This window comes from Homo sapiens, chromosome 4 (assembly GCF_000001405.40).
Source record: "Homo sapiens chromosome 4, GRCh38.p14 Primary Assembly".
NCBI lineage: Eukaryota > Metazoa > Chordata > Mammalia > Primates > Hominidae > Homo > Homo sapiens.
In genome coordinates, this window is record NC_000004.12 from 4,076,603 (window position 1) to 4,100,623 (window position 24,021).

The 24,021-nt window shown below is 45.7% G+C and overlaps 1 long non-coding RNA gene and 2 pseudogenes across 1 annotated transcript; 1 reads left to right on the forward strand and 2 right to left on the reverse strand.

Moving 5' to 3' along the window:
* Positions 1–10,107, forward strand: LOC107986252 (uncharacterized). The gene is made up of 3 exons (XR_001741559.3): positions 1–573; positions 8,434–8,654; positions 10,022–10,107. It is a non-coding gene; the product is annotated as an uncharacterized LOC107986252 (long non-coding RNA).
* RPS3AP16 (RPS3A pseudogene 16) lies at positions 65–913 on the reverse strand (annotated as a pseudogene).
* The window catches only part of LOC100130459 (serine/arginine-rich splicing factor RSZ22A-like), a 21,399-nt pseudogene continuing 7,448 nt past the window's right edge, over positions 10,071–24,021 (reverse strand).

A 24,021-nucleotide genomic window follows, 5' to 3' on the forward strand; every position in this document is an offset into this window, starting at 1 on the left:
TTACAGGCATGCACCACCACACCAGGCTAATTTTGCTCTTTCATTGTTGTTTCTTGTTTGTTTTTCACAAATAGGACTTCTTATTTGCTACCGTTTTAAGTCTGAACTTTAAACAGATTCTTGGACTGGTGGTTCACATCCATCAGCTCATTCAACTTCAGCATGTGTCTCGTCCCTAGTGGGTTTTCCAGAACTACTACCTTCACCACGAAGCTCCATGCCTTTCAAATCCAGAGTTCTCCAGCATTTTTACTTTTCTAATGAAGACAACATGGAGAGGATAAATTGGCAAGCCTTTTCTATATCTTTTCCAATGTTGTCTGGAATCAATTTATTGACCACTTCTTTCAAGTCATTTGTCTGCACCTCTCAGGTCATGATTTCCATCATCTTCTTCTGGATTTGGCGGACTGTTGGTGCTGATCATAAGAGGTCTTCAGTATCTGATTGTTGTGTTTTTTAGTAAAACCAACACAAAACAGATGAAAGAAGTAACCATCGGTAGTCTTGACATCAACATGAGCTTCAATCATTGTTGAACATTTTTCAACCATGGAACATATTTTGTCACAGGTAAGACCCATGCCATAGAAGTTAGTCAGGCAGTTTTTGTCCTGAACATCTTCAGTAATCAGCTTGAATTTTCTAAATGCAACTTCATCATTCTGCAAATCAGCAAGACTCACTTCAAACACAAGACGCTTGAGACCATCAGATGCAATTTGGGTTCCTTTGGTACTGGCGACCAAGTCTTTCCAATATTTATTATATTGAACCTAGGAGGTGCTTTCACATCATACTGATCTTTCTTAGAGAATGGACCAACTACTTTCTTCTTAACTCCTTTTTTGCCACCTTTCATAAGGCACTTGTTCTTAACAACCGCCATGGTGCTTCTCGGAGTACCAAAAGGCTAAATTTCATATTTTTGGTAGAGAGGGGATTTCAGGATGTTGGCCAAGCTGCTCTTGAACTCCTGATGTCAGGTGATCTGCCCACCTCAGCCTCCCAAAGTGCTGGGATTACAGGAGTGAGCCACTGCACACAGCTGTTATTTATTTTTTCTTTTTTTGTAGAGACAGGGTCTTGCCATGTTGCCAAGGCTGTCCTGGAACTCCTGGCCTCAAGCAATCCTCCCACCACAGCCTCCCAAACCACTGGGATTTCAGGTGTGAGCCACCATGCCCAGCCTGGAATCTATTTTTAAAGCCAATCAAGTGTTGAATAAAATTGCAACTTGGGCTGTTTTTTCTTTGCATTTTTTACATTTCAATGGTTTTTAATATATTCAGAGATATACACAAACATTACCAGTCAATTTTAGAACATTTCATGACCTCAAAAAGAAACCTCATACCCTTTAGCTAACACCCCCATCCTCCCATGCCCCTACCAGCCCTAAGCAACCACTAATCGACTTCCTATTTCTATAGATTTCCATCAGAATGAAATCATGTAGAATGTGATCTTTCATCTGTTTTGAAGGTTCATCCACGCTGTAGCGTATGTACTTTCCTCCCTTTTGTGATCAAATAATATTCCACCATGTGGGTAGACAACAATCGGTGTATCTCTTCATCTGGTGATGGGCATTTGGATTAATTCTCTCTTTGGGTTATTAGGAGTGATGCTACTGTAATTATTAATGTACAAAATTTTGTGTGGACCTGTGCTTTCATTTTTGAATATGAAAATATTGCACATCTCCAAGGAAGACATACAAGTGGCCAATAAGCACATGAAAAGATGCTCAGTGAAATTCATCATCAGGGAAACAGAAATCAAAACCACAATGAGATACCACTTCATACCCATAAGCATGGCTAGAATCGAAGATAGAGAAAATTGGCCTGGTGCGGTGGCTAATGCCTGTAATCCAAGCACTTTGGGAGACCGAGGCAGGTGGATCACCTGAGGCCAGGAGTTTGAGACCAGCCTGGCCAACATGGGGAAACTCCGTCTCTACTAAAAAAATACAAAAATCAGCCAGGCATGGTGGCAGGTGCCTATAATCCCAGCTACTCGGGAGGCTGAGGCAGAAGAGTAAGTTGAATCTGGGAGGCAGAGGTTGCAGTGAGCTGAGATTGTGCCACTGCACTCCTGCCTGGGCGACAGAGCAAAACTTTGTCTCAAAAAAACAAACAAACAAACAACAAACAAAAACAGAAAATAACAAGTGTTGGTGAGGATGCAGAGAAACTAGAACCTTCATACACTGCTGGCAGGAATTAAAATGGTGTAGCCGCTGTGAGAAACACTTTAACAACTTCCCAAACAATTCTACATAGAGTTACCAAATGACCCAGCAATTGTACTCCTAGATATAGGCCCAACTTGGGCTCTTTTAATCTATGGAAAATGAACTATGGGTACTTGGCAAGAACAAAGAGGGAGAGAGGCAGAAATGCTGCCATGAGGGCACATTGATTGGTCTCTAGTACACAGGGCTCCTACTGCAAATGGTCTCTAAATGACTTCATCAGTTGCTCAGAAAAAAAATCACCCTCTGCTCCAATCGTGGAGGAAGAAGTATGGATTGGACCTGGTGAGCCACGGTAAGACTGACTGCTAAACTTTATGAATGATGAGGGGATTTGCACGTATAATCTTGACTGTACTAGATTTTTTATTTTATCCACTGTCTTTGAAAACCTAACTCTTAAGAACTGACTTTCCTGTACTTGTTGTTGACTCTAAGTAAATTTCCAATTCCACATAGTCCAAAGATGATATGCTGAGAAATCTCTCAAAGGAAAAATGCTAAGAATACAGGCAGAGTTATGCGGCAAATTTTGCAGAATTAACACAAATTGCACTTGTGGGTATGAAGCACAAAACATTTTCATGGGTAAAGAAAAAAGTGTTCTTCATTCTAGTAGACGCTGCAGGATGAGGCCGATCAAGGTGCCGGCCCAGCCAGACCTTGGGCTCTTACCTAATTTGTGTTAGAGTCAACTCTGAGGGACTGTGTATCTCAGTCATCTTTTTTTTTTGACATGGAATCTCGCTCTGTCTCCCAGGCTGGAATGCAGCCGTGTGATCTCAGCTCACTGCAACATCTGCCTCCTGGGTTCAAGCGATTCTCCTGCCTCATCTTCCCAAGTAGATGGGACTACATGTGCATGCCACCATGCCTGGCTAATTTTTGTATTTTTAGTAGAGACGTTTCATCATGTTGGCCAGGCTGTGCTCAAACTCCTGACCTCAAGTGATCCGCCTGCCTTGCCCTCCCAAAGTGCTGGGATTACAGGCATGAGCCACCATGCCCGATCTCAGTCATCTTTTTATCCTCCACACCTGGCAAGTTCTAGTCACACTGTGGTTCCATACAAGTTTGTTGAATAAACAGGAGACAGAAAGTGGGAACTCTGAAAGTAGCGAAGATTCCAGAATTGTGCATATTTCCCAGAGACTGTGGGCCAATTCCTCAGTCCTGCCAGAGTTTCTCTATCTCAACTCAAACATTATGTGTGGGCCCAGGCGCAGTGGCTCGCACCTGTAATCCCAAAACTTTAGGAGGCTGAGGTGGGCAGATCACTTGAGGCCAGGAGTTTGAGACCAGCCTGGCCAACATGGTGAAACCCTGTCTCTACTAAAAATACAAAAATTAGCCAGGCATGGTGGTGTGCACCTGTAGTCCCAGCTACTCAGGTGGCTGAGGCACAAGCATTGCTTGAACGCAGGAGGCGGAAGTTGCAGTGAGTCACCATTATGCCACTGTACTCTAGCCTAGGCAATAAAGGAAGACTGTCTCAAAAGAAAAAAAAAACCCATAAGTGTGGGCCTTGTTACAGAATTAATGTGTATATGGACAATATGTACATGGGTGTATGTTAAGAGCATGAGTCATCCACAAGATTTTAGCAAAGTCCATTGGGAAAGCTCAATGCTTTGGGCTTCCACTTGCTTTGCTGCCTCTGTCCTCAGAAGGAGGCTTCATCCTTCCATGTAACCAGCAAATCCTTTATGCAGAGATGTACACAACACACTCCTCTCCTTGGCTATGACACTTTGAAAGGGTCCTCTTGGTGGCCCCTGGTGCTCATTTCAGAGTAGTTCAAATTAGGGTGATCAGCTTTCATGCCAATCACTCTACAAATCACTCCTATTATGACCAATTTTTCTAAATGCTTTATTGAATTATTACTTAAAGAAATGTGCACATAGAAGAGGTCAACACAGTACTTTTCTTACAAACTGAACATACTGGCCAGACGCAGTGGCTCATGCTTGTCATCCCAGCACTTTGGGAGGCCGAGATGAGCAGATTGCTTGAGCCCAGGAGCTTGAGACTAGCCTGGGCAACATAGTGAGACACTCCTCTCTACAAAAAATAAATAAATAAAAAATTAGGCAACAGTGGTGGCACATGCCTGTAGTCCCAGCTACTCGGGAGGGCTGAGGTGGGAGGACTGCTTGAGCCCAGGAGGCAGAGGCTGCAGTGAGCCATGACAGTGCCACTGTGCTCCAGCCTGGGTGACAGAGCAAGATCCTGCCTCAAAACAACAACAACAAAAAAACTGAACATCTCCATATTACTGACACCCAATTCAAGAAACAAAATATTACAGACCCTTCCAGGATATTCCTGGGGTCTCTTCCATCGCTACTAACCCCTGACTACAAACAGCCTCCACCTATTTCACCTGACATTGTACTTTATGAAAGCAGCAGTTCTCAGATGGGGCTATTTTACCCCCAGGGGACATTAGGCAATATCTGGAGACACTGGTGGTTGTGTCTACTTGGGGGGAGTTGTGTTACTGCATCCAGTGAGTCCAGGGATCTAGGGATGCCGCTCAACATCCTAAAATGCACAGGGAACCCCCACACATAGAACAGAGAAATTGCTGAGCCGAAATGTCAGCAGCGTCACAGCTGACACCCTGACATACACACTATCACACAGTATCTGCTCTTTCGTGCTCAGGATCTTTTTCATTCTAATCATCTCATAGGAAACAGAAATGTCATTTAGAAGTAGGTAGAGTCCAAAACAAAGAAGATCCAGAGTTTTTTTTTTTTTTTTTAAATCAGAATGGTGCCTTTAGAGCTAGGATTTAGTTTCCATTCTTTCTGTCTCATTTTCAAGTGATTTTTTCTTCAAATGGCATCTACTGGGCTCAAGAACCGGAGATCCCCACAAAGCTGAGATTCACATGGGAATTTTGTACACACCCACACAGGTATACACTGCCATTTACATGCAGACATCCACCCACAGATACACACATCCGGAGACCAAGACAGAAAGCAAACTCAACCATAAAAGCACGGTTCTCCGAACAGGAGAAACGCACCATTCACTCCAGGGAGGTACCACCTATTTGTTTAATTCAGCCTCTGATAGTCAGGCTGTTGCCAAGCCCAGCTCTGAAAGTCTTCCCCTCTAGGAAAGAGAGATGGATTTTTTCTTTACTCAAGAATATAGATCTAAAAAAACCAAACACTTCTGCATCTCAAAGCAGGCTCTACCTCCTGAGCTACACATATTGATCAGCATTTTACTGTCAATTTTCTTTTATTTGAATTCGAGAAAAATATAACTTAATTATGTTCTTACTGACAGTTTGGAATCAGTTACACTAAATCCAATTCTCTGGGTTCTCATGATTAATGTGTTTAATTTGGGGGACGACAAAGCAAAAGCATTGGTCGTGTTTTAATATAATTAGTACAGGATATATCTAAGGGGTTGCAGTATCACTGTAGCAAGAAGCTCATTCTGCAGCAAAAGGGGGGTTCTGCCACTAGGAATGAGTTACGGTGGTTCATGGCTGCACCGTTTCATCAATGTCTCTTCAAGAGTCCATGGAATGTGGAATGGGAAAGACTGAAATAGTGCAAGTCTTGGCTAAGCTTCTATTAAGGGGTGTTAGGAGCTGATAAAATAACCTGGTCTTTATAGACATCCCACACTGTAGTTCTCTAAGCTACAGATTCTCAGATTTTTCTGTTTTATAAACGAGTAAAAATATTTTTTTAATTTGAGAACCAACATAAGGTTGCTATCTGTTTTTCTTTTGGGTAAGAAGAAACTTTTTTAAACTACCAGTTTCACACACACACACACACACACACATATACATAGAAATTCCAACATGATTTGTCAGAATAGGTGAGGTTTTGCTGCAATAACAAACAACTCCTAAATCTTGGTAACTTCAAACATCAGAAGTTGTTTTTCTCACTCATGCTACATCTGCAGGGAGGTATGGGGTGCTCTGTTTTCCATCAAACTTGCCCTAAGACTAAGGTTAATGGGGGTTGCAATACCTCGAGTATCACCAAGCAGGGAACAGAGGGAGAAGAATGCTAGAGAGTCTTGTACTAAGAATTAAATGCTCTAGGCTAGAAGTCTAACATTGCACCTCTGCCCCCAGCCTCTTGGCCAGTACTAGCCACATCCCCTCCCCCACCACAGGGCAATGCATGAAGACAGGAGAATTGGATACATTACAAATTTCTACCCAGTGGCATTTCATAAAAGAGAAAAAAATGCAAATACAAAAATGTTTTAATAGAATAGAATATATACATTTTTAGAATAAAGAATAATCCTCCAAAAAGGACAGCTGGTGGTCTTTCAACAATGGGCACATTTCTGTGACATTTTGTTTTTCCATTTTATCCTTGACCTATGAACATTTTATACAGATGGTCCAAAGAACACCATTTGGGGACCACTGCTCTAATCAGGTGATGAAAACGGCCCCAAGAACAGAGCACAGTCTCTTTAGCAAAGACCCGGCAGGGCCAGGGTGACCATGTTCTCACCATCAATGTGCAGACATCCACCTGCAGCATCCTCACATCCCAACATCAAACAGTGGCTCTTTATATCTTGATTCTAATGTCCTTTGATCTTCATAATCATTGTAAAGCTCTCTGGCCCCAAGATCTAACAACGCCACTCTAGCTACATCATGCAACTCTTCACCTCTCCTGCCTCCTCATCCCTCTAAACTTCTCTTCACAACCTCATGTTTCCTTCTTGCTTTACCTTCCTGCTCACCCTGGACCTTACAGTCACCTTCTTCTTGTAATGTGCTCCTGAACTCGTTCTTCCCTTCCTTCAACCACACCCACCTGGAAAATCTCCATACCCCATTGATGACTTGCCTCGCAACTGCCCAAGGGCTGCTGAATGATACTGGAAAGAATCACAACGTGGATCTGGTAGTTCCACTAAATAATCTCACCATCCAACTCTAGGGTAGACTTCACTTCTGTTCAGCAATATGTTTAAGCATCACAAATAAATTCCAAACCATATTTGCTATAACAATTGACTTTAAACCTCTTCCATATCTCAAAGCCCCCCAAACCCATCCCTAGGGGTTTCAGAGCCCAGAGTTGAGTTCTCTCAACTCACTTCCATCTCACCCCTAGATCACTGTATCTTGACCCTCTTCCTCTGCCTTTCCCAACTTATAAGGAGAAGCATCCTTCTCCATTCCCAAGTTACCTTCTCCACTTGTGCCTCATTTGAGACCTGCCTTTATCACCCGTTCCCTTGGAACTCCCATGACCCACCACCTTCACTTGTCATTTCACTCATAAATATTATGTACCTTGTATGTGCCAGGTGCTTAACATATAATCATGCTTAAGTCTCCACATGCTAACAAGAAAAACCTTGATTATCCCTGCTATGCCCTCAAGTCATTACCCTCCCCGCTCCTTTCCTGTGTTCCCAAACTTTGTTGATCATCATCAAACCCTCTGATGCAGATGGCTCCGAAGTTTGCATCCTATTAGGTTGGTGCAAAAGTAATTGCGGATTTTGCCATTAAAAGTAACGGCAAAAACAGCAATTATTTTTGTACCAGCCTAGTATCTTTTCTCCGGCTACCAAACTTTGTCCCTGAGACATCTCATCACCTATAACTACCTCCTCCATGCAGTTGATTCCCAGATCTGTATTATTCTACTGGAAGTCCATTCTCCAATTTTCTCGGCTAGAATGACAGAAGCCCAATTAGAATTCATGCTACCAGTTTACCACCACCACCACCACCACCACCACCACCGTCGCCCTGCCATTGTTAGCACAACCATCTCTTGAGTGGAGCTCAAAGATTTGTAATCCGCCACTCCCCAGAAAGATAACTTCAGACTCAGCCAAGAAGTAAAGATCCTCCAGATATGGCCTCAACTACCCTCCAACCCATGTCCCCAGTGCATCCCGTTGATGCCCCCTTCAGTGGAGTTAAAATGGAGTGAGTGTTTTTCTTTTCACATACTCCTGGTGTTCTTCCACAAATACAATTTTCACCTCTTGAATATTTTCAAGGATTCTCCATGCTACACACAGTGAAATCCAAACTCCCCACCAGGACCCCAGTCTTCCCAAACCCTCTGCACTTTTCTGCCTCCATGCTTTTCCTTGGGTCATCCTCTTCTCTAATATAACCTTGTGTATTATTCTAGGTTCTCCAGAGAAAGAGCAGAGAGATAGAGGTAGAGCTATACACATAGAGAGAGACAGATTGATTTGTTGTAAGGGATGGCTCACATGGTTATGGAGGCTAAGGAGTCCTGGAGTCTGCAGTCAGCAAGCTGGAGACCCAAGACGGCCAATGATATAGTTCCAACTCGAGTCCACATCTAAATTCAGGAGAAGATTGATGTCCCAGCTCAAATATAATCAGGTAAAAAGAGCAAATTCTCTGTGACTCTACCTTTTTGTTTTCTTCAGGCCTTCAGTGGATTGGATGAGGCTCACCCACATTGGGGAGGACAATCTGCTTTATTCAGTCTACCAATTAAGGGTTATCCTTATCCAGAATACCTCAGAGACACACCCAGAATAATGTGTAGCCAAATATCTGGGCACCCAACAACCCAGTCAAATTGATACATAACACTAACCATCATGTCTTGCTTCTACTCTCTCCCCATTACTGCATGGCCAAATTCTTCCCTTATTTCAAGGCTTAGTTCAAATGTTACCTCTTAACTAAGCCTTCCCTGCTAACCCCAAATATTAATAGAATTGGTGTCTCCCTTCTCTGATGTCTCAAAATATGTTGTGTTTCTCTTTTACTGTATTTATTACAAACTCCCTTATAAATCAAGACAGTGATTCCCAGACAAATTATCAAAAGAGTATAAAAGAAGTCTTCTTTGAGTGTGAAATATCTCATGGAATATAGCACATGGCGTCTTCATGAAGAAACTACTGGGAGAGAAGACAAACTGGAAGAGGCCAGGGAAAGGGGGTTAGTAAAAAGCACAATGAGGCTGGGCTCATACAGTGGCTCACAACTGTAATCCCAGCACTTTGGGAGCCCAAGGCCTGTGGATCACGAAGTCAGGAGATCAAGACCATCCTGGCTAACACGGTGAAACCCCGTCTCTACTAAAAATACAAAAAAGTTAGCCAGGCATGGAGGCGGGCGCCTGTAGTCCCAGCTACTCGGGAGGCTGAGAAGGAGAATGGTGTGAACCCGGGAGGCAGAGCTTGCAGTGAGCCGAGATCGCACCACTGCACTCAAGCCTGGGTGACAGAGCAAGACTCCATCTCAAAAAAAAAAAAAAAAAAAAAAAAAAAGGAAGCACAATGAAATGTCAGTGGATGGGTGCCTATCATTTCTAAGGGAAATAGAATATAATCCAATAATTTTATAGCCAGCTAAATTATTGCCCAATCAAAATAGACAAAAGACACTATCACATGCTGAAGAACTTAAAGAACACAGTATTTCTGAGCTCTTTAAAAAGAAAAGTCTTCATAATAAAATTTAGTCAGCCAAGAAATTAAAAAATAAGCAACTTGTGAACTGAATGACCATGAAAAAAGGCTAGTGATAGGACTATGATTGCAGAACAGAAAGAGAAGGTGTCAACCTTAACAACATAAAACAACCTAGAAATAACTAGTTTCCAGAGGTAAAGGGAGGGACCGTAGGAAGTAGAAGTGCTAATGCCCTTTATTAAGTCAATTAATCAGGTCTAAAATTGAAACGTGATTTTAAATATATAACTTCTTGTTTATTTTCCTCCCTAACTACCTGAGGATCAACCACCATCATGAATGACACAGTAACTACCTGGACCAGGAAGTTCATGACCAATCGACCGCTCCAGAGGAAACAAATGGTCACCAATGTCCTTCACCCTGGAAAGGAAACAAAATGTACAAGACCACAATGGATGTCATCTTCATATTAATAGTTGGACTCAGAACCCATTTTGGTGGTGGTTAAACAATCGTCACTCACATTGGAGTGCAGTGGTACGATCTCAGGTTCCCAAATCTCTGCCTCCCAGGCTTAAGCAATTCTCCTGCCTCAGACTCCCCAGTAGCTGGGATTACAGGCACGCACCACTACTGCCTGGCTAATTTTTATATTTTTAGTAGAGATGGGGTTTCACCTTGTTGGCCAGGCTGGTCTTGAACTCCTGACATCAAATGATCCACCCGCCTTGGCCTCCCAAAGTGCTAAGATTACAGGCATGAGTCACCGCGCCCAGCCTTTTCTGTATTAAATTTTTTAAAACACAACATTTAAAATAATCAAGTCATTCTTTTGGAATCTACTTTGTATTATAGGTATCCAAATACTCACCTATTCTCTCTCACATGATGACAAACTCGTTGAAATGTCATTTAGTTTTGTGGCTCCAGCCCCAGGGATTCTGACTCTGATTCTAAAGGGCCTGCATGCAGAGTGAGCAAGCTGCCTGGATGATTCTCTTACAGGTGTTTTAAGGGCAGCAGTTTGAGACACCCTGATGCAAAAGAACGAACGCTCAAGGAAGTTGGCTGTACATGTATTTTCCTTCCTAGCACAGGAAACGACAGAAAGATTATCCAATCAGTACCACTCATAGCACCTGATTATATGTGCATGAGGAATTCAGAAATGGTTTGATCAAGGTTGAAGACCTAAAAAGAAGCTTTTCTCTCGGACACCAAGTCCCCATCTTATGCGTGGTTGAGTTAGTAGAAAATGAGGATGATGCTTCTTCCTCCAGCATTGGTATCCTATGGTTTTTGTTGTTCAGTAAATGAAGTACATCCATCCCCCAAAATCCCCAAGCTCAATTCCAGTTTCCTCACATACACTTTTTTTTTTTTTTCTTGAGACAGAGTCTCTCTCTGTCACCCAGGCTGGAATGCTGTGCAGTGGTGCAACCTCAGCTCACTGCAACCTCCACCTCCCAGGTTCAAGTGATTCTCCTGCCTCAGCCTCCTGAGTAGCTGGCATTACAGGCATGCACCATCATGCCTGGCTAATTTCTGTATTTTTTGGTAGAGATGAGGTTTCATCATGTCGTCCAGGCTTGTCTCAAACTCTCGGCCTCAAGTGATCCACCCACCTCAGCCTCCCAAGTGCTATGATTACAGGTGTGAGCCACCGTGCCCATCCCCCTCACTTACACTTTTACAGAAGATCTGATCATACCCACTCTGCAGAAGTCAGAAAGACCCCCACGTGGTGTTAAACGGGAGTGAAAACTTGAGTTCAATCAACTGAGAGTGACACAGAAACATTTCCCCCAAAACGCTTTTGGCAGCTCTGCTGATCCTTAACCTGGCTCCATTTCAGGGCAAGACCTCCACTTAAGCTGCACTGGCTTCCACTAGAGTAAATCACATTAACTCATGGCAAACACAACTGAAGGGCAAAAAGATTCTTTTTAAAAGGATTTTAGTCTCTCACTTACCAACACACGCTGGCCTCCCTAGAGCCTGACTCCATTCAGCACCTGTTCCACTGAGCACCCACTGAAAGCTCAGCTTATGAGCCGAGATGACCCAGACATCAAGGAGTTTACAATCCAGGGGAAGAACAGACCTGAATACAAGTGATGACAATACAAGACGGAGTCAAATAGCCCAACTTGAAGTTTCAGCAAAATAGCACCAAAGACTAGTTCCCAACCCAGCTCCCAGAGCCAGAGCCAGAGCCAGGCTGGCTGCATGAGATCAGCTGGGAGTTTTTGCAAACCTAGGTCCTAGCTGAGCCCCTAATCATGACTGGCAGTCACTGGGAGTGAACTCCAGGAACTGGTTTATTTAATAAGCACCCACACACACACACGATTCTGCTGTTCCTAAGGGTTGTAGAAACATGGAACTATAGAAAACACTAAAAAAAAAAAGGCACTAAAACAAACCTATAAATATTCACTACCATCCCAGGCATCATGAGGACACTCCACGTGCACTATTTACAATACTTAGAATAACCTGCAAGGGAAGCATTCATTCATGACGATGGGCTTTATCGGGAACAGAGCCAGCCCTGGGAATGTTTGAACCTGCGCTGAAGGTCACCCCCTCCTCCCCACAGGAGGGGGCTAACATTGAGGATCAGGGGCCAGATGGGAAATGGAGTGTCCTTTTATTATGAGACCACAGTGAGAGACTTTTTTTTTTTTTCCAGAGTCTCGTTCTTGCCACCCAGGCTGGCGTCCAGTGGTGCAATCTCAGCTCACTGCAACTTCCGCCTCCCGGGTTCAAGTGATTCTCCTGCCTCAGCGTCCCGTGTAGCTGGGACTATAGGCACCCGCCACCACACCTGGCTAATTTTTGTATTTTTAATAGAGACAGGGTTTCACCATGTTGGTCAGCATGGTCTTGATCTCTTGACCTCATGATCTGCCTACCTTGGCCTCCCAAAGTGCTGGGATTACAGATGTGAGCCACCACACCTAGCCTCAGACTTTCAAGTAAAGCCACAATGGACCACAGAGCTTAGACATCAGGGCTAACATGGAATCTCTGTCATTAAATCTTGAGATCTTATTATCTTTGCCCAAAGAAAAAAATAATCACAATTGACATTTTGAGGACAAGACATCTGAATGTAAACTTGATCTTAGAGGATATTAAGGAATTACTGGTAATTTGATTAGGTATGACAATGATCATATAAAAAATGCCCTCATGTTTTTAGAGGGAAAGTAAATTATGTAGGGGTGAATATCAGGATGCAATTACATAACTACTGTAAACTATTTTGTAAATACTTCAGAAAAACAAATGGAGTAAATATTGCAAATGTTAATAGTTTTTAAATCTATATGATGGGTATATGATAGCTCATTAAACTAGTCTGTCTACTTTTATGTTTATTGAAAAGTTTTCATAATAATAATAATAATAATAATAAAAAACCTTGGCCAGGCACAGCAGCTCATGCCTGTAATCTCAGCACTTTGAGAGGCCAAGGTGGATGGAGGACTACTTGAGCCCAGGAGTTTGAGACCAGCCTAGGCAACACGGTGAAACCTCATCTCTACAAAAAAATAGACAAATTAGTCAGGCATGGTGGTGTGCACCTGCAGTCCCAGCTACTCGGGAGGCTGAGGTGGGAGGATCACCTGAGCCCAGAAGGTCAAGGCTGCAGTGAGCCAAGGTCACGCCTCTGCACTCCAGCCTGGGAGACAGACCCTGTCTCAAACAAACAAACAAGCAAACAAAAACCCTCTTGATCCCATTTCCCAAAAAAGTGATTTTTTTGAGATCTTACCATCTCCTGGCTTGGTGCAGAGTACAGGAAATCCAGACAAAGTACAGCACACAAGGAATAAGGAGGGAGGGAAGCGTGGGGGAGGCTGACACTGTGGACTCTCCCAGCTCAGTTGACCCATGAGCCTTGCTTCACGGAAGAAAGGAATGGAAGATGAGTCATGCCTTCAGCACACAGTGACCGTCCTCACTAGTAAATGTGCCTGCAGAAGTGTCCAAGAACTCAGTGCCAGAGCCAGGCTGGCTGCATGAGAATCACCTGAGAGCTTTTGCAAACATAGGTCCCTGCTGGGTCCAAATGCATTCATTCATCTCTTCGAGAGGAGAAGAGAGGCAGAACAAGGAAAAGGATGGGAAGAAACCAGCCTTGTGCACAGGGGGATGCTAGGATTCCTCCTGCAAGTTTAGCGCAATGCAGCCTATTTTACACGGTCACACAAGCTCAGAGAGGTAAACCTGCCCAGGTTCTAGCTTGTAACTGGCAAAACCCGCCCAAATCTCTGTCTCCAGAGATATTTCCACTTGCTTCAATTCTGGAGCTGTCTTAGTTGTAAAGATGACAGATTCCACTCATCACTCACGTTTGTTTGCAGATATTGCCTAAAGTCCCTTGTGAATATTTAGGTCAGGGCTGTTTTTTTGAGTTTTTTGTTTGTTTGTTTGCTTCTTGTTTTTTTAACAAAGCAATCTTGTGGAAAGAACCCAAAGTGGCTCCCCCATTTAAGACCCTGTAAACAGGGAGACGAGAGTCCTGGTCTGGTTTCCACACCTTCCTTAGATTTCCCTGTGTGTAAAATCCAACAACAATCTTTGACAAATTGCCTCCCCTAGGGGAGAGGTGGAGGAAGTGTTAACTTTGCTTTTTTTTTTTTTTTTTCTGTTTTCAGACAGAGCCTCGCTCTATCACCCAGGCTGGAGTGCAGTGGTGCCATCTGGGCTCACTGCAACCTCTGCCTCCTGAGCTTAAATGATTCTTGTGCCTCAGCCTCCCGAGTAGCTGGGACTACAGGCAGACGCCACCACACCTGGCTAATTTTTGTATTTTTAGTAGAGATGGAATTTCACACATTGGCCAGGCCGGTATCGAACTCCTGGCCTCAAGTGATCCAACCCCCTCAGCCTCTCAAAGTGCTAGGACTACAGGCATGAGCCACCCTGACCAGCCAATTTGCTAATTTTTTTTTAATAGACAGCTTCGAGGTCCAGTATGAGTTCACAGATTAGGAAACATCACAGGCAAAGAAGAACACTTTGCATTCAAATAGCAGAATGTTTTCATTTTCAAAGAGCTCTCACCTGCCATCTAATCTTGTCTTCCTAGCAGTCCTGAGAGAGAAGCAGAGTGGTTTCCAATCCCACTTTCCAGAAGAAGAGACTGAGGCAGAGGCTTTGCAGATACACAGAGGACATGTGAGGACAGGTGAAGGTCATGATCATTGTCAGCCCCCTCCCCCAACTGGACATTCCCAAATCTGGTGGACTTCCAGCCAGTGGAGACAGAAAGACTGGATCACTCAACTCTGCCATGGGTGCCAGGACCCAATTTTTCCCTGGCTAACTCGGTCACCTCCTGTCTGGGATCTCCAACTACTACGCATCCCAGAAGTCTCAGCTAAAACAGCAATTCAACGGGGAACTTTTTTCTGAGGCTCCAGGATTGGGCCAGGCCCTCTCCATGGCTTTCTGCCCTTCCCCTACTGCAGAACTTAGCACCTGTATGTCACTTTTGGTTAAACATGTGCTTTTCGTATGCTCTCCATGTTATCTGCAGCATCTGCCAAGAATAATAATGAATGGTAAAACCTAATCTCTATTGAGTGTCGATGATGCACTTTTAACGTGACATCTTATTTAATCTTCACTATATCTGCAAGAGTAGAAGCTATTAATAGCCAGTTTTCAGATAAGAAAATCAAAGCACAGTTTCTATAACTTACCCAAGCAGCTAGCTAGGAGGCAGCTCAATTTGAGCCCAGGGAATCAGTTTCCAGAAACCATGTTCTCAATTACTAGAGCAGATACCTCCCCAGAATCTAGTAGGTGGTTAATGAGTCTTTGTGGAATAAATGAACAGAAGGACAAGCAGTGGATGGATACATGGGTGGGTGGGTGGATAGATGGGTGTATGGAAAGATGGGTGGGTGGGCAGGTGGATGAATGAATGGATGGTTGAGTCGGTGAACAGATGGCCGAGTGGGTGGAGAAATGGATGAGTGGGTGAGGGGGTGGAGGGATAGATAAATGGATGCACGGGTGGGTGGATAGATGGGTAGATGAGTGAATGGGTGGATAGATGCATGGGTGAGTGGTTGGATAGATGGGTTGGTGTGTGAGTAGGTGGATGATAGCTGGGTGCATAAGAGAGTGGGTTGGATGGATAGATGGGTGGGTGGGTGGGTGGATAGATGGGTAGGTGGGTGGATGGATGTATGCATGTCTGGATGGATGGATGGATGGATGGATGGACGGATGGATGGAAGGAATGGTGGATGGATGGACGGACAGATTAACAGATGGACTTGAGCATTTATTCAGGGTCCTCCAAAGAATTGAGTGATTTTCTAGGGTGTGTCATCACCTGCAGGTGGATGGGCAAGGGGGCTTGCCTCTGTAATACTTATGATTATGGGTAGTGCTCAGCCTTAGTCGCCACTCTCGGAACACTTTATTGACTAGGAAAGTCAAAACTGGCATTGACAACTAGTGCAAATTACAGCTAAAACTAACAGAAGATGTTGAGTGATGACAGCTGGGCAACAAATAATCAATAATTTGGCTGTGTCATGTTGCTGCCATGCTGGACAGGTAGAGCCACGGGTTCCTTGATCCCGCCATCACATTGAGGATGCTTATCAAGACTTCCCCAACCATGGGGACAGGGATCTTATCAAATACTTGCAGTTCACCCCAAAAGGCTCACCCTCTTCGTTCCACCTGCACATGACCTTCAGCTCAAAGACATTTCCAGTCCTCCAGGTCAGCCCTTCTTCCAGCCTTTGAATTAACTCTGATGACTGCCTGCCCATTAGGTGTCTTCAACTTTCATCACACAGCCTTTTCCAAGGCTTTCCTTCAGTCCAGCCCTCACCAAACGTTGGAACTGTTGTTGACAAAATCCAGAACAAGCTGGCTGGGGGATACAGGTGGGAAGCAGGCTGTAGTAATGCGGAAAAATTCTAAGCAATCTCGAACACATAAAAGAAACTGAACAGGTAAGAGAGAGGCACTCAAGAGAAGAAGTGTGAATTTTGCATAACTGAAGGTGAAGAAGAGCGGGGGGCATGGCAGACCACAAGATAAATATGATATAGACTCCTTTTTAAAAAAGTATAAACACCCACACTTTCCTACAGACAACTGTGCTTCAAATATTGCTAAGGTCTTTACTAAAGGCGAGTCAGAAAAACTGAGTATTTTATGCAATACAGTAAGAAGGCCCATAGGCAAGCATGTTCCTGACACCACCTTCTAGGATAACACCTGGGATTCTGGTTACACCTGTCCTAAAGTTGTCTCTCACTCCTGCTGTTGGAGAGCTACCATGAGAGAAGAACCATAGTGAAGTGGTTAAGAGTGTGCACCCAGCGACCAGCCAGATGGCTTCAAACCATCACTATCTAATACCGAGCAAGTTACAGAATGTTTCTGAGCCTCAACTTTCTCATCTGTAAAATGGGTATGCCGTCATTCATTAATCAAACTCTAGGTAAGCATATACTAAGTACCAGAGACACAAATGAGAATCAGGAACAGGCATGGCCCTGGCCCTCACAGTGACCACAGTCTAGAAGGGGAAGGATGACAAGCACAGAAACAGGAAGCCATAGCTGAGCTAGTGTCTACCACACAGAGGCATCTGGTGTCATGAAAGCAGATAACAGGGGGTTGCTGTGACTGAGTCAGTGTGGCCAGGTGTCCCTGAGGATGTAGTGACTCCACTGTCAGATGAGACCGTGACCAGGTGAAGAGGCAGGGAGAGGGAAAATCTTTCCAGGAAGAAAGAGCAGGATATGCAAAGGCCCTGTGGCAGGAAAAGAGCAAAGGAAGTTCAAGAGCCTGAAAGAGGCCAGAGAGAACAAGTGAACATGTGGATAATCACAGCACCGACCTCATACAGGACTTGCAAGAAATCGAGAGACTGTCTGTAATAGATTCAGTAACGACTAAATAGAAACTATCTCCTAAAAGCACACGATGAGGCTTCTTGGTGGTATTTCCCATGTGAGGCTGCCATGAACTCAGAGGCCAAGTTCAACCTGCCTGTAGACAACCTCCAAGCCAGCTGGACACACATACACCCTCAGGCTCAGGATACCCATGACAGAGTCCTGGATGCTTGAAGTCATGATAAGTATCCAGAATGACACAGAATTCCAGCCAGGCATGGTGGCTCACGCCTGTAATCCCAGCACTTTGGGAGGCCGAGTTGGATCACCTGAGGTCAGGAGTTCCAGACCAGCCTGGCCAACATGGTGAAACTCCCTCTCTACTAAAAATAGAAAAAAATTAGCCGGGTATGGTTGTGGGTGCCTGTAGTCCCAGCTACTCAGGAGGCTGAGGCAGGAGAATCGCTTGAACCTGGGAGGCAGACACTGCAGTGAACCGAGATTGCACCATTGCACTCCAGCCTGGGCAGCAAAAGTGAAACTCCGTCTCAAAAAAGAAAGAAAGAAAAAAAGAATGACACAGACTTTGCTAAAGGGGGAGAAAAGGCTTTCTTCCAAAGCTGGGCCTGGTTTCTACAGAGAGTCTTTCAGATGAAAATTAAGCAACTCTTTGCAAGCAGCTCTTTGCAAGCACCTCAGAGGAGAACCCCTCACCCTGATGAATCAGGCACACAGGTGGATCCAAGACAATTGGCTGCGTGCATGTGAACAAGCCTATGGTGGAAATGCAGTGCTTTATTTCTTAGGGGTAGTTTAATCACCAGGAGGGAGAAGTTTCTAAAGCAGCATACAGAGGTGGCTGTTGCCTGGGTTTTCTGGAAGGGGGAGGTGGTGAGGATAAGGGCTTCCATTTCATCTGCAGGACCCTTGCAGAAGGAGCTGGGGAAAGCTTTGCAGCCATCTGCACACTGTTTGCCATCTTGTCTGGCTGGGCAGCCGAGCTCCAGATGGGGGCGGATGGGATAGCTCTTGCCACCGTATTTGGAGAGAGATGGCAGGGAAGTCAGGCCCCATGAAGAAGACAGGAGCACACAGTTGCTGGAAAGTGCTGCCTAGGCCCCTGGGGCTGAAGTGTCCAACCCCACAGTCTCTAGATGCCACTAAAGCAGCCTGAGAGGATCTTCTCTGTCCATCTCCATCCTGGCACCTACAGACACTTGGAGACAGTCCTTCACATGGGAACTCACAAATGCATACTGATAACCCCCACACGGAACTCTCATACGTAGCAAGTGAAAAGACAGGATGCCAGTTAAACTTGAATTTCAGATAAACAACAAATCATTTTTTAGGGTAAGCAGGTCCCAAATATTGCATGGGATATATTTGCACCAAAAAAAAAAAAAAAAAAAAAGCGTTAATGAGAAACTCAGGTTTAATTGGACGTCCTGTATTTTACCTGGCAAGCCTAACACTGCATAAACACAACCTTGAGCTTGAAACTCAGAGAAGCCACGGCCGTGCTCACACACGTGCACAAACCCATATGCCTTACAGAGTCAAGGGCTGTGATAAGGGGGTCCCCACCCTTGCACACTTCCCTGTCCTCTGTCTGGGCTCAGAGTGAACAGGGGGTCACCTGGCATCCACGTCTAAGCTGGGCTTGGAGGTGTCCTAATGAAGCAGGATGCTGACCTGCACTTCCCCAGCTCAGCGGGGGCTGCAGCCAGGCCTAGCTTCCAGTCTCGGGCCTAGAACACACAGCACAGCCCCAGACCTTGGCAAGAAGCCTTCATCTCAAGGGCCACTGGTCCAGGACCTATTAGAAGCCCCACTTCTTCCCTCTGTTTCTGCTGCCATTGCCCCATCTCTGACCCTGCCACTCAATCACTCTATAAACACAGCAGGTACTAGGGGTGGCTCTGGGCTCGGCACTAAAGACATTGCCCCTGGTAAAGCCACAGTCTAGCAATGACAGTCAACCACGTATCAGCAACAGCCCTGCCCCACACGTGCTGACTGCGCACAAGGCCGGCGCTGTGAACGTGCTCTCAACAGTGATCTCACTGAACCCTCATGGCAGCTCTAGGATGCAGACAGTAGCATCACATTATCTCCATTTTACTTTCGAGGAAACTGAGGCCTGAAGAAGGCAAATGCAGGCCTCGAGATTTGCAGTAACATTGCCAGGAATGTTTGAGAAAGCAAACTTCTCCAGAGTGAGGCAGTCTGCCAGAGCTCAGAAGCCAGAGTCCCTGTTAGCAGGGGGCTGGGGGGACTGTGGGGTGGGGGCAGACAAGCAGGTAGGGGCTGGACCCCCCAGGACACCAGGGTGCAGACTGGTGTGAGTAAAAGAAAGAGAGGCGGTCGTGCCATCATCTGCAGAAGATGATGTCTACAGAGGACAGTACCATGTGAGCCCTTGGGGAGCCGGATGACTGGATGGAATTTTGCACAGGATGCAAATTAAGCACAGATCCCCCTCTGACCTAGACAGCCCACCTCCAGGAACATCTCACAGAAATGCAGGCACAGAGCACCAAGTGATGTGTGCGAGGAAATTCATCAGAACACCGTCTGTGATTGGGAAAAGGCGGAAACCATCCAAAGACGTATGGGTGCAGGGCTGGTTAAACGAAGCGTGGTGCATCCACACGTCAGAATAACTGCTGGGAGAAGAAGGTGGTACCCAGGTTCCAACGTGAGACAATGTCAAATACATGCTGCCTGAAAAGCAGGCTTTCCAAAGAATAAATAGAGCATTATTCATTTTTTTTAAAAAAAGGTTACAATAAACACTTATGTGCAAATACATGTGCTTGCGTGCACAGAGGAAAAAGGTGTGGACAGGAACAGAAAACCAAACTCTGCATGTTCTCACTCATAAGTGGGAGTTGAACAATGAGAACACATGGACACAGGGAGGGGAACAACATATACCAGGGCCCCTTGGGGGTGGGGGACAAGGGGAGGGAGAGTGTTAGGACAAATACCTAATGCATGCGGGGCTTAAAACCTAGATGACGGGTTGATAGGTGCAGCAAACCACCATGGCACATGTATATCTATGTAACAAACCTGCACACTCTGCACTTGTATCCCAGAACTTAAAAAATAAAAATAAAAGAAAAAGATGTGGAGAGGTATACCCCCACCCTCCCCAGTGTTACCTCTCAGAAGCAAGATCAAGAAAAGCAAATCAAGAGGAAGTTTTGTGTTTTGTTTTCTATATAATTTTTTTATTTTTGAAACATAGTCTAGCTCTATTTTGCAGGCTGGAGTCCAGGGACACAATCTCGGCTCATTGCAACCTCCTCCTCACTGCAACCTGCTCCTCACTGCAACCTGCTCCTTCTGGGTTCCAGTGATTCTCTTGCATCAGCCTCCCAAATAACTAGGATTACAGGCCCGCGCCACCAAGCCCGGCTAACTTTTGTATTTTTTGTAGAGACAGGGTTTCACTATTTTGGCCAAGCTGTTTTCAAACTCCTGACCCGCCCGCCTTGGCCTCCAAAAGTGCTGGGATTACAGGTGTGAGCCACCATGCCTGGCCTGCATTGCTTGAATTCTCAGACCACATAGACCCTCTCATCTGGCCCAATTGCAAGAGTCCAAGGCAGGAAAGGAAGAAGGCAGGGACTTACCCCTCCATCAGGACAAAATAGAACAGAGTCAAAAAAGAAAAACATGAATGGATCAGTCAAGAGGGCTGTGCACGTGCCCTCCCAGGCACCTACACCTTGCAACTTCAGCCAACAAGCTTTCAAGCCACAGAGTCCTCCTCCCCAGAGACTAGCAAGGACACAAGCCCTGGCCAGGCCCCTCCAGGAGGATGGTCTGAGGGATAAGGTGGGGTGCAGAGTCAGGGGTGGCAGGAGGAAAGGGGGACACAAAGCCAAGGAAACCAGGGCACCTCATGCTTCCTGAAGGCCCCCAGAACAGGGCGCTACACAAAGCCCCTGTGTATCTGTTTCTATAACAGCCTGAACACAAGGAAAAGGAAAACAAGGAAAATGCACAAAGCCCAGCCTCACCTGGAGCGGGTTAAATAAAGGTCTTTGTCTTCATGTCCTTTGGAATTGGAAATCCAAGCTTCTTCTTCTGTGCCTTTAAGGTCCGGGCTGCTGCCCCACAGCTCCCTTCTCTTCCCTCCTCCTCTTGTCCTGACTTTTTCTTTTTTTTTTTTCTTTTTTTTTTTCTTTTTTTTTGAGATGGAATCTTGCTCTGTTGCCCAGGCTGGAGTACAGTGGCACAATCTCAGCTCACTGCAACCTCCACCTTCTGGGTTCAAGCAATTCTCGTGGCTCAGCTTCCCGAGTAGCTGGGATTATAGGTGTCACCATGTCCAGCTAATTATTGTATTTTTAGTAGAGACAGGTTTTCACCATGTTGGCCAGGCTAGTCTCAAACTCCTGGCCTCAGGCGATCCGCCCACCTCGGCCTCCCAAAGTGCTGGGATTACAAGTGGGAGCCACCATGTCTGGCCCTCTTGTCCTAACTCTGCCATCTCTTTGCAGTCTCCCCTGAGCAGCTTTCCCTGGGCCCGCCCTGCCCCCCTCCAGAGCTGCACTCTCAAACCACCCCCCAATGCCCCCTGGCCCTGGCTTCTGCCCTGGGGCTCTGATCCTCAGCTGGTGAGGTCTAGAGGGTCAGAGGGAGCCAGACTCCCTAGAGAAGCTGAGGCAGGAGCCCTGTGCTGGGCTGTGGGTAACCTGCCCCCTTCTAGCTGGGGCCGAATAGAAGGGGAAAGGCTGCCCCCAGAATACAGGGCTCTCAGAGGCCCTGGGGATCTGTGCTGGCAGTCAGGAGGACTGTCACCTCAGTGCAGTTGCCTGCAAGGAGGGCTGTGCAGGAAGCTGCATGTTGCTCAGAGAACAAAAAAAGGAAATTAAATGCATCATCTGGTTATTAGCATGAACTTTTGAGGCAGACACTTAAATATGCATGCCTAGACATTATAAAACTTGGGGGAAATGTTAATTTCAATAACGCCAGTTCTCATGCTTGCAGAAACCATTCTTTTATCTCCCTTCCTGGTAAGTTGGGGGCTCCATCCCTCAGAGTGGCAGTGCCAAGACAGCTGGCCTCACTGGGTTTTGTAAGCTGTGCAAGGTGAGATCCCAAGCCCTGGCCTGGAGACCCATCTAGGAAAATGTTAGAACAGGGCAACAAGTGGCCATTTCCTCCCTCCTTTCTCTTCCCCATACAAAAATCAGAAAGCACCCTAGCCCAGTGCCCAGCCACAGTGGTGAGGAAACCCCACTCAAAATCCTGGGTTGTGCCCCTGATACCAAAGACCTGCAAAACTGGGACTCACCTGCTGCAACCCAAGCCCAGACTTGTGTACATTTCAAGGGTGGCTGGACTCATGGCCGCCTGGGACGTCAGGTTGGTACAAAGTCCTCTTAACCTAAGACTGTCAGGGTACAAGGATCAGCATTTTCTTTCCTTTCTCTTGAGGGCCAGATGGTAAATAATTCAGCTTTGCAGGCCATAGGTCTCTGTCCCAACTATTCAACTCTCCATTGTAGCAGGAAAGCAGCCACAGACAATATGCACTGAAATGGGTGTGGCTGTGTTCCAATAAAACTTTATTTGTATGAACAGGCAGGGGGCTGGTTCTGGCCTGGGGGCTACAGCCTGCCTCCTCTGCTACAGCTTGATCTCCAAGGACCGATCCGTCTTGTAGACCAGCAGCTGGCACACAGGAGCTGCTCAGATACTTGAAGGAGGAATGGAGAAGGCAAGCAGCCCCCAGTGTGCAGACGTGAGGGTCTCCCAGCAGCACCATCCTTTGCCATCTCATGCCGAGGGACAAAGCCAGAGCAGGGCCCTCCACCAAGGCTGGGTTCTCCTCCAAGGAAATGTGATAACAAGACAGAAAGCATCGTGGAAGGATAGGGGCTTTGGAGTCCCACAAACCACAGTTTGCAAGACCAGGAGCATCCTGCACTTCCTTGCACACATCCTGGGTGGGTGCTGGAGCATCTAGACTTAGAGTGAATCTTCTCCCCCTCCTCCCCCAACTGGCCTCCATTACACTTCCAGCAACAATGTGGTGTATGTACACAGTGGAATACTATTCAGCCTTCAAAAAGAAGGAAATCCTGCCATTTGAGACCACATGGATGAGCCTGGAGGATATTATGTTAAGTGAAATAGGCCAGGCACAGAACGACAAATACCACATGATCTCACTTATATGTGGAATCTAAAAAAGTTGAACTCGGCCAGGCATGGTGGCTCATGCCTGTAATCCCAGCACTTTGGGAGGCTGAGGCCGGCAGATTGCTTGAGCCCAGGAGTTCGAGACCAGCCTGCATAACATAGCAAGACCCCATCTCTACATAAAAATACAAAAATTAGTGGAGCGTGGTGGTGCATGCCTGTACTCCCAGATACTCAGGAGGCCGAGGTAGAAGGATTGAT